At 37.2% G+C, this 13,954-nt stretch overlaps 1 protein-coding gene across 27 annotated transcripts in view, besides 1 other annotated feature; it reads right to left on the bottom strand.

Annotated features, from left to right (window-relative positions):
• Nucleotides 1–13,954, bottom strand: part of NLGN1 (neuroligin 1) — an 898,421-nt gene that overhangs the window by 878,323 nt on the left and 6,144 nt on the right. For 4 of the 27 annotated variants that reach the window (XM_017005893.2, XM_047447706.1, XM_047447708.1 and 1 more), the window contains exon 2: nucleotides 536–662. The exons of 22 other annotated variants lie outside the window; for them this stretch is intronic. The gene's annotated coding sequence lies outside the window, so the exon portion shown is untranslated. Of the gene's footprint in view, nucleotides 1–535; nucleotides 7,118–13,954 lie in introns of those variants that run through there. One more of the 27 variants, XM_017005895.3, reaches the window with a different exon arrangement.
• Nucleotides 5,229–5,730: an enhancer, noted in NCBI's record as "NANOG hESC enhancer chr3:173128110-173128611 (GRCh37/hg19 assembly coordinates)". NCBI's record gives its function as "activates a minimal SCP1, AML or CMV promoter by ChIP-STARR-seq in primed H9 embryonic stem cells {active_cell/tissue: H9 hESC(primed)}" and the evidence as "EXISTENCE:reporter gene assay evidence [ECO:0000049][PMID:30033119]".

Raw genomic sequence — 13,954 nt, 5'->3', positions numbered from 1 at the left:
TCCAAGATAAATAAACTCAGTGGTGTCAACCAATAATCACACCTGGTAATAGCTAATATTCATTTTATGTATGCACTCTTATTGTGTGTTAGGCTCTATACCAAGCTCTCTCTCTCTCTCTCTCTCTCTCCCTCTCTCTCTCTCTATATATATATATATTTACTCCTTGCAATGTTCCACAGGTAGAGTTCTCCTTATCTCCCTTTATCAATAGGGAAACTGAAGCATAGAGAGACTAAATAACTTAATGGCAGAGGCTCCTCTGATTTTAAGGCCTATACCCTGAATCCATCCAATTTCTGACTCTACTACAATATATTACCTTTTTCTCTGCTATACTCAATGGTATCCTATATTCATATAGAGTTTAATAGTATATAAAATGCCTTTTCAGACTTTGACCTATTGGTCCTTTAATACTACTCTACGAAACAGGCAAGAATATGTTGTCTTTCTTATTTTATAGGGAAAAACACTGAAAGCCAGGTTGCACTGCCTTCAGCAATCATTAGCATACGGCAAAGTCAAAACTTACCTATGTCAACTTATATCTACATCATCCAACTTCAATCCCAGTGTACTATGCATAGCATCAAGCTTCTTTCCATTCTACTTTTTCCGGGAGAGATTTGTCTTCATACCGCTAAACCGCTTGTTGAGAACTTAAAAAATAAGGATCAGAGAAAGACATAATGCCTGTCAGTTGCTTTAAATTATCCCCCCTCCTACTTCCTGCCATCTCAGATTTAAATAGCAATCCCTATATAATAGGAGCTGTAAATTTGCCTATTTTGCACTTGACAAAGGAGGTTTTTGCCGAAAGCCTTGCTCAAAGGTCCAGAATTTAACCACATACAACTGAGTTACTACAATTATTTGGAATAATGTTAAATCTAACTATTTGAAATCACCCTTTAATAACAATTAGCTTGAAAAACAAATGCGGTTTTCAAAACACTGCAAATGTTCTGACTTTGCTTGATGAAGAATCAAAGACCAAGGAGAAGTTTGGCTCACTTGGCAGTTGCCTCCTTGATAGCCCTCTTGTCTCCATCTGCATCTTATTGTGGGCTCTTGTTTCAATTTATTTGTTTAGGGATTTCAGGTGGACTTCTCTGATGACGTTATTCATATGTGGACATCTTAGGGCCTCTTCCCTGCTCTGTCTCAGGATGCTTTCTTATCTGATTCCTATTGTCTGTCATTCTAGGCTGCACACCCTCTTGGGCCTTCTCAAAACCACCCACTTCACCTTTCGTGGTCCTGCTCCTCCAAATCTGATTTCCAAAGTGAGATGTTGCTCCTTAAATCATCCTCCCTTTCTCTCCCCAAAGACATTAATGTTCAGGTCCTTTTCTTTTCAAGGGTTTTACTATTAAACACAAATGGACACATTGCTGTAGATCCCTTCCTCAGTAATGGTCCCTCTTTCTAGACTAAGAAGTTTTTGGTGCTTTTTTTTTTTTCACATGGAGATGTTGCATATCATATAATGTAGTTCTAGTCTCTTAACTAAGGTTCTGAGGTGGCAAACTGAAGCCTCTATGTACCTTTTGCTAAACAAAGCATAGCGGTAATTCTCAGATTACAAAGAAAGGACCACACTGACCCCTTACTTAAGTCCATTGGTTTCCTAGCGTCCTGAGGATTCCTTCTTCTCCAGTCCAATTCAAAGATAGCCATTTAATCATTCCTAAGCAGGAGACATGCCCTCTACTCACTCTGCTCCCTGCCCTTTCCCATCTTTTTGTATACTACCAAGAAGAGTACTATATAACATATCTCCTTTATCACACTCAAATCAGTATTCAAGCATCCTCTCTGTTTCTGTTAAGTCAGCAACACAGCTACCAGTTTGCTTGCAGACATAGCTTGAAATAACAAGATGTGAGGATGATCTTTTTCGGTACCAGACATGCCCCTCTCCCTTCCAGGCCCCCACTCCTGTTCCCATATGTTCACATCCTAATACAATGTAAGTATGAAGATGCTTTGGAGGCACTTTGGGGTACCTTCCCGAACCCAGGATCTTCTGTGTGCACAGTGGACTCATGATATTCACTACAGTGTGGAACCGCGTGCTGGGGACACCTTCTCTGTACATACAAAGCTCACATCATCTCTTCTACCTTCACTAGTCACCTGTTGTACCACAACCACTGCTGCTTCCTTTCTTGTTCTTTTTCCAGGGAGAAGAAGGTTCTTGAAACCTTTTGCCCATAGGGTAGCCAGAATCACCTGGTATGTTTAGCTCCAGGGCTTCCCATTTGACCTGCTGCTCTGGCCCTGAACTTCTCTAGACATCTGGGGTCAAGGCTCCTGAAGGAAGTGATAACCAATGTCTTCCAGAGTTTTGGAAGTTAACAAAATTGCTGTAGATCTCTTCCTCAGTAATGGTCCCTCTTTCTAGACTAAGAAGTTTTTATTTATTTAATTTTAATTTTATTTTTGAGATGGAGTCTTGCTCTGTCACCCAGGCTGGAGTACAGTGGCATGATGTCAGCTCACTGCAACCTCTGCCTCCTGGGTTCAAGCGATTCTTCTGCCTCAGCCTCCCAAGTAGCTGGGACTACAGGTGCATGCCACCACGCCCAGCTTATTTTTGTATTTTTAGTAGAGATGGGGTTTCATCGTATCGGTCAGGCTGGTCTTGAACTCCTGACCTTGTGATCCGCCCACCTCAGCCTCCCAAAGTGCTGGGGTTACAGGCATGAGCCACAGCACCCGGCCGAGAAGTCTCATTTTTAAAATTAAAATAAAATAGGTAGATGGATGGATAGATAAAACAAAAAATATATGAACTTCCTTGTCTCAGAGGCAAATTTGTGTTCTTAAAAGTTCTGCAGGCAGAAGGACACTAGATCACAGTCACATTGCATCCCCGACTTCCTTAGTCCATCGCTTCCCCCAAAAATGGATTAGGAATGGGCAGTCTGCGAGGGAAGCATGTTGGCTAGGGTGGGCAAGGCAGAAAGAGAAGGAAAGACTCTTAAAAAGAAAAGAAGGATAAATATCGCCAGGGAGTCAAGCACAAGCAATCTTTCTTATTCCCTCCTTTCCATCTGTAGCACAAACCCCAGTTAATCAATTACTTTCTTGAAGAGAATTACTGTTACGTGGAAAGCGACCTAAGAAAGCATTTGTTGTCAGCATTATGCACTGCAGGCCTTATCACAATCAGGCCAAAAAAGTACCATTACAGAGCCAAAGGAGATCATCTAATTTCATAGAATCCCTTCTTGTGAAAGTATGTTATTGGATATGCCTGATGCTGTCAAAGTGGGGTGGAGGAAGGCTGAGCAGTACTAAGAATACGGCTTTTTTTGTGGTTGTTCAAAGAAGAACTATAGCAATTCTTCCTTTCCAGTGTTTTTATAATTTGGTTTAGAATCAGCCAAGACAAAACAAGAGAAGGGCTGGAAACCTTCCCTCCAAGAAGTTGGAATCAATATATTTTCCTGAAATATTTTGTTAGTGTGGTAATTAAGATAGAGTTTCACTCAGAACTTTATGCATTTGACTATTTCCTCATTAAAAAAAAAAGGTCAGTGTGCTAATAAAGATAAATACATTCTATTTTCCTTTCAGGATTTTAATTCTCTCAACCCTATCATAGTACTCAAGAGCAAGCTTACCTGATGTCCTTACAAAATCCTGGTTCTAATGCTCTACAGCAAAATCACCTGTGCAAATATGTGTGCACACTGTGTGTGTGTGTGTGTGTGTGTGTGTGTGTGTCAGAGTGAGAGAGAATGCATTGAGCACTGGCATGTGCATCTGAAAAGTTTTAGTCTTAATTCCTCATTCTTTATTTTTGGTAGCATCATTAACATTACAAAAACAGTAAACTGGTATAGGTTTCAAACATGCAAACTTGCTAATAGTATTCTGCAGAGGGACAATTCCAGGATCAGAGAGAATACTTCTTGCTCCAAACACAATTTTACATTTTGAAATATGATTTACTTTCTGGATTGCAGCCAGGCAATTACCATTCACAAATATTTCAAGTGAGAGAGAGAAAGTGGTTGCTACTAGTCCCATAATTTGGAATTGCTGCTAACAGATTTTACATATCATCTACTTTTCTGCCATTCTCTTTCAGAAAATACAATTAAACCTTAATATTTCTGCATTTTAAGTCTTACTGTCAGCTTCGTCACTGCTTGAAACAAAAGTGTGTAAGTGGCTCCCTCTGGTGCTGCCACTAGTATTAATTTTTCTATTCGCAACCACAGATGTAACCCAGAGAAGCAGGAAAAAGTAGGTAGAAGCCCTCATAACTGGAAATGTCTCTTGGCACACAATCCCACATGGAATAATATTAGATAAGAGATGAGGGGGTTTGGAGGGCGGGGTAGGAATAGATGCTTAATATCTTCCGTGGCCTTTTTTCCTCACTTCATATACACAAAAGGAAATTGCAAAAGCTTTAAGAAAAGTCATGTTTACTAAACCCCAGCCAAAATCCCCCATTCTTGTTGCCTAATACTAATGACCTAAGAAAGTACTTAAGTACTACTTCTAATGGACCTTGACAGGGCCATCAGTCACCAGCCCAGCACTCCACTTGACCTGGGGCCTACATAGCCATGATTAGAGCAAAAGTGGGATCATAAAAAGTCTCTTCCAAGTGGCAACCGAGGGCTCCAGAACAGCACCTCTGAATGGCAGTGGTGAAGGAAGCTGGCAAAACTTCCTTCTGTGGCTGTGGTCCATAGTTCTCTCTGATGACCACTCTTTCAATGTAAGTCCTACTCACAGACAGACAATGTTTGAAATTTAGACTCCGTAAGGGAATGATCTGACTTCTAGGTCAGCCACCACAGTGTACAGTCCCAATGATTAGTTTATAGCAATCTGCAGGCTCTCTCATGCTGATCTTGCCCTCTTTTCTGCCAAAGAGGCAGCACATCTTCCCTGCTATATTTCTCTAAAGCACAGCACAGCCTCCACCACCAGCCAGAATGTTAATGCATTATCACTCTGTACACTGAGAAAACAAGTGACCATATGTAGCCTATGCCAGCGGAGCTGTAACTGTGAAGAACAATGGCTCTGAGTCAACAACAGAATTAAACTACTCCCTCTTGTGAAGCTCTTCTGAATATTTTAAGTGTTGCCTTGAAAGTGTGGGATTATGTGCAAGCATAAACATTAGCTTAATGCAATTTTTTGGTACAGAATATGCCAGAGTTTAAAAATCAGAATTGAAATGCAGAAAATAACTTTGGGATAAATTTAATTTTTTTATGTGTGATTAAAACATGATTGAAGTGGCATACTTTATGTATAATTAAAGTTGCTTTGTAATTAAGAGATTTAAACATGTATAGAAAATGATACAGCCTAGTTTGGAGATTTTACAAAGGCACCTATTAAATACTCACCCCTAGCAAGCCTATGACTCAAATGTTTTCACATTCTAATGCTGATAGAGTTCTTGAATTTTCTAAAGCTGCCAATTTCACCATTTCTAAATGCTTTATCCCTCCTTCCATGTGCTAGTGAAATAAAAGCAGCCCAATCTCCCCTGCATTAACAAAAACATGGATGTAGAACACCATATCTTAACTTCAAAAACTCCAGGTGAATAAAGAAGGACTGTCACAATTGAGGTAGCGTTTGACTCATCTTTGCCTTCTCCATTGTGCCTAGCACCATGTCCCACCCAGTGCTTAGGAAATACGTGATAAATGGCTATTAGTAGGTGAGCACAGTGTGTCCGTGTTTATGTATGGAGGGTTCTCATGATAATGCAAACACTTCTGAACATTTTTATGTGCCAGGCAAAAGTGCTATGTTATTTTGTTTATTCCCATAACGGCCCTATACTTTTTAGAGTTTTAGAATAGCCTGGTGAAGGAATGACACTCAAAATAGACTAGCAGGACTACTCTCAGTGTATTTTTTACAGACAGAAAAACTAAATCAAAGAGAGGTGAAGTCCACACAGAATCATGAATTTTAGTACTAACTTAGCAGCAGTACCACCTATTAAGCTAAAGAATTATGCAGAACAAGTTTGGTTGTTTTCCCCCTTATCTTGCTCATTTGTGTCACCCCTTTCCCAGACCCAAATTCCTCAATCTCCCACCCTCTCCAGAGATTGCCTCTTGGCCCCCCTACAGGTCCCTAAAACATCCTTCTAGTAAGCACCTGGCATTAACCTAGGCTTGTTCTCACTAGCAATGATCTTGGTTTAAACTGATCTTCCTGGCCTTCCCCATCAATACTTGTCTTTTTTATGTTTCATTCTTTTTAGCCAAGTATCACATGGCGGAGGGAAATAGTCAGACAAACTTATTCATATTAGAGTGTTGGTTGCTGATATTTGCATTTAGAAGGCTTTTGCAACATTTCAAAAGCACAATGGAAAATCCTGAATTTGGGTTCTGGATTTAGGTACAGAAAGGATGCCATGTAAGAGACGTGTGTAAGAGACATTGTTGACTGGATACAGGGATCAGGAGACAGGAAATCAGGAGTTGGAAATGGGGGAAAGAAATAATATTCATGAAGATAAGCAAAAAAATATATGGACTGATAGATGAATGCTAGATTTATTTTCCTGGGGGCCAGTGACACGTTTTCTAGGGGCCAGTGACACGTTTTCTAGTGTTTTTCCACATTCCCGTCTACAGTACATATGGAATATGAACAGTTTTTTCCAAGAAAAGTGATTGTTTCTTCTCAGGCTTTCTCATATCAATCATTCAACTATAATTTTCAATTAATAAAGATAAACAGAGGTAGATAGATACACATTTACATATTGATATATATGTATACATATGGCAGTTTTGCAAACCTGAGTGTAGCAGGATAAATAAAAGATATTGCAATGTTAAAGATGGCTCTTTATACTCTTTCTAACACTCTAACAAATTATTCCATTTCCAGTGATTATACCTTCGTTCTCCCCTATAGCAGCACCACCCATACTCTTGTTTTTCTCAGATTTCTATGGTAGAGTGTCCCACGAGAGGCTGTTCTGTGAGATCTCAGGCTTCCTAGGGGTTCTAGAGAAGGCTCGTGAAGAAATGACATTCAAAATAGCATACCAGGACTATTCCCAGCGTATTTTGAGTTACAACTGGCAGAGTTGTAATGCACCTATTCTTTTTTTTTTTTTTTTGAGACAGAGTCTCGCTCTGTTGCCCAGGCTGGAGTGCAGTGGCACAATCTCGGCTCACTGCAACCTCAGCCTCCCGGGTTCACACCATTCTCCTGCCTCAGCCTCCCAAGTAGCTGGAATTACAGGCACCCGCCACCACGCCCAGCTAATTTTTTGTATTTTTAGTAGAGACGGGGTTTCACCGTATTAGCCAGGAAGGTCTCGATCTCCTGACCCTGTGATCCGCCCGCCTCGGCCTCCCAAAGTGCTGGGATTACAGGCGTGAGCCACTGCGCCCGGCCAATGCGCCTATTCTTGAGAAGTTATAGAGGCCATGTTTACGCAGTTCTATAGAAAACATGCTTATGCTCTTCTGAAAGATTCCCTCCCTAATCTCCAGGTGCTGGTTATTCTAGCCACTGGCTCCCAGAATGAGCTGCTGTTTTTATGGAGAGTGACTTCAAGGAGAGTCAGGAGGGATGTGTTGATTTTACATAGAATTTAGTAGAAACGGAAGAATACATCTCTCTTGAAATTGCCCCTCAGACCTTAAAAATGTTAAAAATTTTTAAGTGATGGTGAGTATGACCAATGAGCATTAAAAGACAGATTGGCACCAACTAGATTCTCTCTCCCTTAAGCAAATAGGCATTCTGTCTTGCAATCATCAAATCTGGAGGGACTGCTTGGAGTACCATGTTGAAAAGGAGCATGGAAAAGAAGACATATTGTGTGAGGCAGAACGTTTCTAGTATTTCTTATGGAAAGAGTGCTTGGGCTAGAGAACCATATGTAGGCAGGATTGTGCCACTGCACTCCAGCCTGGGCAACAGAGCGAGACTCTGTCTCAAAAAAAACAAAAATGATAAGAAGAATCTTCTCATTTGATGACAGGCAATCAAATAATCTCAGCTTGATTTTGTATCAACCAGTGTCACAAACAGACATTCTCAGAAAATCATACATTCCATTTTAAATAATTTATTTTTAGTGGACGCAAACTCTTTCTGATATGAGTAATATGAACCAATTTTTCTGAGGACTATTTATTCAAAATAAATGTATAATTGTTATTTCTAATCTGCAGAGGCCCTAAACCAAAATACTGAATGCTAAATAAGATGTATGATTTCAATAAGCATTTTTCTTTGCTTTCTACAATGATATTTCTCAATGTGTTGTATGTGTGTGTTTACTTTTGAAAGAATCTAGAATGGCCAACTGCCCCTGCTGCCTGTCTTAGTCTTGATTTTTATTGCTTTTATGCAAGCAATGCTTGCTCCCTCTTCTCTATTTATTCATATCCTAATCTCCTTTAAATAATACCTCCTCCACTAACTTTGCTAAAAATATGACTCCCCTTTTTTATCAGTTCTGGTGATTATTACCTATACTTCTAAAATTCTAGTAATTATGTAATCATGGTAACTTATATACAGAATATATGGTGCCGATGTATGTATTACTGCTCTTTAAATAAAACTAATGCATGAAGGCATTATGTGAAGATCAGGTTCCAGCTCTACCATTGCATAAACAAGCAAATCATTTTTTTCCTCTGGACTTCAGTTTTGTCACATGTAAACTAAGGAAGTGAGCCTATGTTATCTAAAACCCACCATGGCCCTTTCAGCTTTTCAGCTGGAAAGACCATTGAAAATTTATTAAAGTTTTTAGAAATAAATGATTCCTTTGTACAATATGTTTTACAAACCACCTTAGGTCAAAAAATGTGATTCTACGCATTTAGTCATAAAGATGTGATTACAATATGAATATAATCTCTGAACTCTATTTAATGATCTGAGACTCTAAGCCATTAAATAGTACTCTCCATCTTGAAACCTAGTATCTTGAATATTTTTCTTAAGGACAAAGTGACACAACTAGAGGATTAAAATAATTTAATTAATAATTTTATAGAAACCTACTTACTTCAGTAATACTGTATCATGTTTTTGATATCTTAATTGTATTATGAGAGAACTTCAAGAATATCTAGCCAAAATAAAAAAGAAGGATTTTCTTCATGCTCCATAAATCAACTCACTTTTTAAGCAAAGCAGGTAGGTGAGAAGCAACACAGTGTTTTCTCTGTGGTGACTACAGCTACAACGAAAGAAAGGAGAGTGGCACACCTCTGGAGAACTTGTTATTCATCAAAAAGTAAGTGCCCAGCTTTCTGACCACTTAAGAGCAGTGGCAATTTTCAAATACAATACAGGGAAGAAACGCTGTTGTCTGTGGAAATGCACGGTAAGAACGGTCAAGATGTATCCACAAATAGTAGCATCTGACTGGTCCAACTATAGGCTTCTCTTCCTTTGATTTATATATATATATGAATACATATATATGAATTCAATATATATGAATATATATTCATATATATTGATATATATATCTATTCATATATATGTGATTCATATATATATTTGATTCATAGATATATTCGTATATAAATATACATATAAAATAAAATAGTACATCGCCAATTTATACTGAATCATAAAATATGGTTCAGTAATGATAAAATAAAAAAGGGAAACTTCATTTTTACCTGTCAATTTTCTCTTGCTTCTTACTGATAATTCTTTTAAAGAAGAACATTTATATATATAGTGATAGTTAATTCCTTGCATAAGTTTTCTTTGTTCTTGGTGGAAAATGCATTTTCTTCTTGCCTCCTCCCACTTTTACATCCACTATTTGGCTGTGATTTATTTAGTAATCTTTCTCATCCAGTATATTTGAGGATAAGAGTTCCTAAATCCTACTTTTGTTCTGTTGAATCTTCTGCATTGCTTAACAGTTATTTTAAAGAACAAGTAAGATATGTATGGACAAGTCTCCCAAAACATGTAAAATATTAAAGCTATATATGATACAATAAATCTTAAAGTTATATGATACATGTTATATATTTTAAGCTTACCAGCTTACAGTACATCCCTCCACTATTATGTATTTATATCATACTAACTTAAATGTGTAATATATTATTACAGACTTTATTTCTGATTATCTTTACCCAAAACAGATTTTAGAGCCAGGAAACATGTTTAATTTTAATTAGCCTAAACATACATTTGAAAAACGAAAACCAAAGCCTAGAGTGAAGGGATCACTAGAAATGACACAGAGAGTTACTAGAAGAGTCTGCTCCCCAGACATCGGTCTCTTCGTTCCTGGTCTAGTTCTCTTCATTTGTTTTCATCCTACTATTATTTCTTTTCTTAAGACTAGCTATATTTTATATATTACATAATTGGAGGGCAAATAGAGAAAAAAAGAGATAGGATTATATTTTAATCATACTTTCTAAGAATTATGCAATAGTTTCTCTTATCTATTTGGAGATTATTAGTTTGGTTAATTAGTTATCGCTATGGTATTAGTTTGTTTAAAAAACGAGGATCATGTATAATTAAAGTTGCCATATTTCATTGACTCTGACACCTTTAACATATCTGAAATCAAGGTGCATTTTATAATTTCTTATGGCCAAGCAGTAGTGGAGGCATAGTAGCCATAGACTATATATGTGAAAATTGTTGGTATTCTTCTTATTCTTCTTAGCATGACCAGACAACCACCACTCCTGACAGTTCAGGACAATTTAAGGAAGGCAAATGAGTTCTGGTTGTTGTCTGAAAACATTCCATTGTCACATTCTAGTAAAATCAACAACACACCAGGATCAAATCATTCAGAAGGTATCAGCTGCTTGGAATTAAATTCTGGAGACAATCGCGGAGCCCTTCAAAAACAGTGCATCATCAACACATGCATACTATTTTCTGTGGAAAAACATGGCTATGAATGAGTCAAAAAATGATTCAGAAGAGGTTCTGAATAGGATAAATTTTTTTAAATTCTTAAGCTAATGCATCTTGCTAATATATGTTTTATTCATGTAAAAGATGGATATATGTTAAAAATCTATATCTATTTGTCTAAAAATCCTCCTTTATAAAAATATAAAGTAAAAATTCTAAGTAGTAGAGAACGATTGTGGAATTAATACTGGGGTGTTCTTTCCACAGTGTGAATAAAATGCAGTGTTCTAGAATCAGTGCTCCTTGGTTTTGATAAAATACGGTCTATTAAATATAATTAAACATTTAACTCCCTAGCAGAGGTTTCAGGAACTTGCAGTAGCTTAGGCTCATTGCTATGAACCATAATGAATTCACAATGGATTTGTGAAATAAACCTTCTAATCATCTGTACTGTGTCCAGATAAGAGGGTTCAGGTAGATACTCAAAAACATACTTCCATGATGGTCATCACCTGACACAGGAGTGCCCACCACAATATAGATCTATTTAAACTCTATTTCACTATATTTCCACCTTCAAATATATCTTCCATTAAAGCAAAAAGGAAAAGCATCTGTTCCTGACCCTAAACACAGATGGAGTTACTAATTACCATTTTAAGCTTGATTCAAAAATCAATTCTCCTGGAGGCGAGGAGCCCAGTTCAGAGGTGGTTGCTGTGGTGTAAACAGCTCTAGGCATGGAGCCTGAAAATAGAGCATTGTCAATGGAATGATGAGATGCTCAGAAGGCACATTCTAACATACTGAAGGTAAGCCAAGAAGATCACCAACATCCATCACAAAAGTTGCTTTGAAACAGAGAGAGATATCAACCCCATTCTTTTCCTAGTTTATGTTTCCTTTACATTGTGGTTTTGGATCCTTTATACTGAAGAAAGAGTTATTGCAATGAGGTTATTAGAATTCTAAAACTGGAGGGAAAAAAAGTTGAGACACAATTTATATCTGCTCATACAGCAAAATAAATATAATGAATTCAATTTATTTATAATTTATCTCACCTACACTGCCTTAGTTTCCCACCTGTCTGCAAACTACAATATGTATCTCCATAAAAATAACTCAAGCACAACTGCTATCTCTTTTCCCTGAAATCCTATTGCACCATATTGTACCTATTGCTCCTCTCATGCCACAAATTCAGCAGTTTACGGAACACAGTATCGTCTAATTTCCAAACATACATTCATTCAGGGAAAAAAAAGACACGTATTGAGTGATGCGCGATGGCACTCATTTGTTTGTGCATGTATTCATTACATCATTTCTTGTTCTAAAAAATAATTTGAAGCAGCTACGATTTAAAAAAACTCCAGAATAATCAAATATTTAAACAAAGTTAAAGTTTAAAAATGAATCCAAATAATAAAGCAGAGTAAAAGAAGATGATTAAGGACATCTTTTTCAATTGAGCACAAAATTGGCTCTGAGCTTCCATGAAGTCAGGCAAAAGAATGAAAATAAAGCTTTCCTTGTTTACAAAAATGAGTCATAATGTTCAATGAGAGAGATGCTCACTGGTATGTGAGCTGAAAATTAGATCCCTCCCTTGAGCCCCTCAAGTAAATAAACCGTTATCAGAAACAAAGAAGTAATTTTTATTTGTGCAAAGCATATATGAAGTCCTTCTTTATGAGAGTAACTGGCCAAAGGGTTCAGTCATTTCTCATATTATCTCTGAATTATGATGGTGAAATCATATGACAAACATAGATGAGGATACGTGATCTGTTTGGTAAGGTGGACATCCTCTGATTTAACTATAGTTTACATTATATGATCATATAGATAGGTATACGATGACAAAGCAAGGTTTATAATTTAGACATGTAATATAGTATAATTTAGTATTTGTAATTTTACGCAGTACACATTCCTACATTTTCCAATTATTCAGTTTCTATTTTAAAAAAAAACTCTGTAACATCATGAAAGTATGCATTCTACATCAGAAGCATGCAGCCAGACATATACACCATTTATTCCATGGATTCAAAGGCCATGTAATTATTTTTTCATGAATTTAATTTTCACATAGGCATTCCATATTTTAAGAGATCTGAGAAGGACAGATAGTTTGTTTGTGGAACTCCCTGTTAGGAGCCCTAGATAGTTATTGCCTCCTTCTTCCCAGTTAACAGAGCTCTGATTTTTTGTGTGAAGCAGCCAAGTCCACAGGAAAACAGACCTCTTCCCCAGCCCTCAAGGGACCGACCATGATGATCAAAAACAATCATACAACGCATTGTCTCATTGACAGTTGTAAGTTAAGAGTGAAATGTGACATAGTTTTAGTCATTCAGGCATAAAGGGAAGTTTGCTGATATCTTCTGTGAAAAGTTTCCTTCTAGATAAAGAGATATATCCATGAGAAGAAGACTGCTTTTTCATTTCTGCTTTGAGTGGGGCTATGAGAAGAGGTGATGTTTGGCTCTGTGATAATCATATTGTTTATCTTGTTTCCAAGATAAAGACTCAAGAGATTTACAGTGAAGTCGTACCAGAGCCATGACATCCTTGAACTCCTAAGTTAGTCAACCCTGGATCAGCACACCTCCAGAATCTGGTTCTGAGATAATGAATGTACTTTTTGTTAAAGCCTTTAATTGGGTACTCTGTTACTTGCAGGCAAAAGCTTCCTAACAGACACCATCTTTTATATTTCTATATTCTATACAAAGTTGAGCAAAAATTTGCATTCAACGAACTTACAGAAAATATAAACAAGAATAGGAAGAAAAAAGATTACAATCAATCAGACAAGATCATTGGTCGTCCATAGCAATGTTAATATATCTTTGTAAGTCAGAATTATTTCCTATGATAGAATCCAAGAGTACTTATTGGTAGGTAGATGGTAGGTAGATAAGCAACCCATCTTAAAGTTACTATAGTCCATGCTAACACATCTGTACCAGAATCCATTATTTTACCTACTGCATTCACTAGCATGTGTTATCTTTCTAAATACAAGCATTAGAAAGAAATATTG

The sequence above is a fragment of the Homo sapiens genome, chromosome 3 (assembly GCF_000001405.40).
Source record: "Homo sapiens chromosome 3, GRCh38.p14 Primary Assembly".
NCBI lineage: Eukaryota > Metazoa > Chordata > Mammalia > Primates > Hominidae > Homo > Homo sapiens.
Note: the sequence above shows the minus strand (reverse complement) of the source record. Positions and strands in the feature narration are given on the sequence as shown.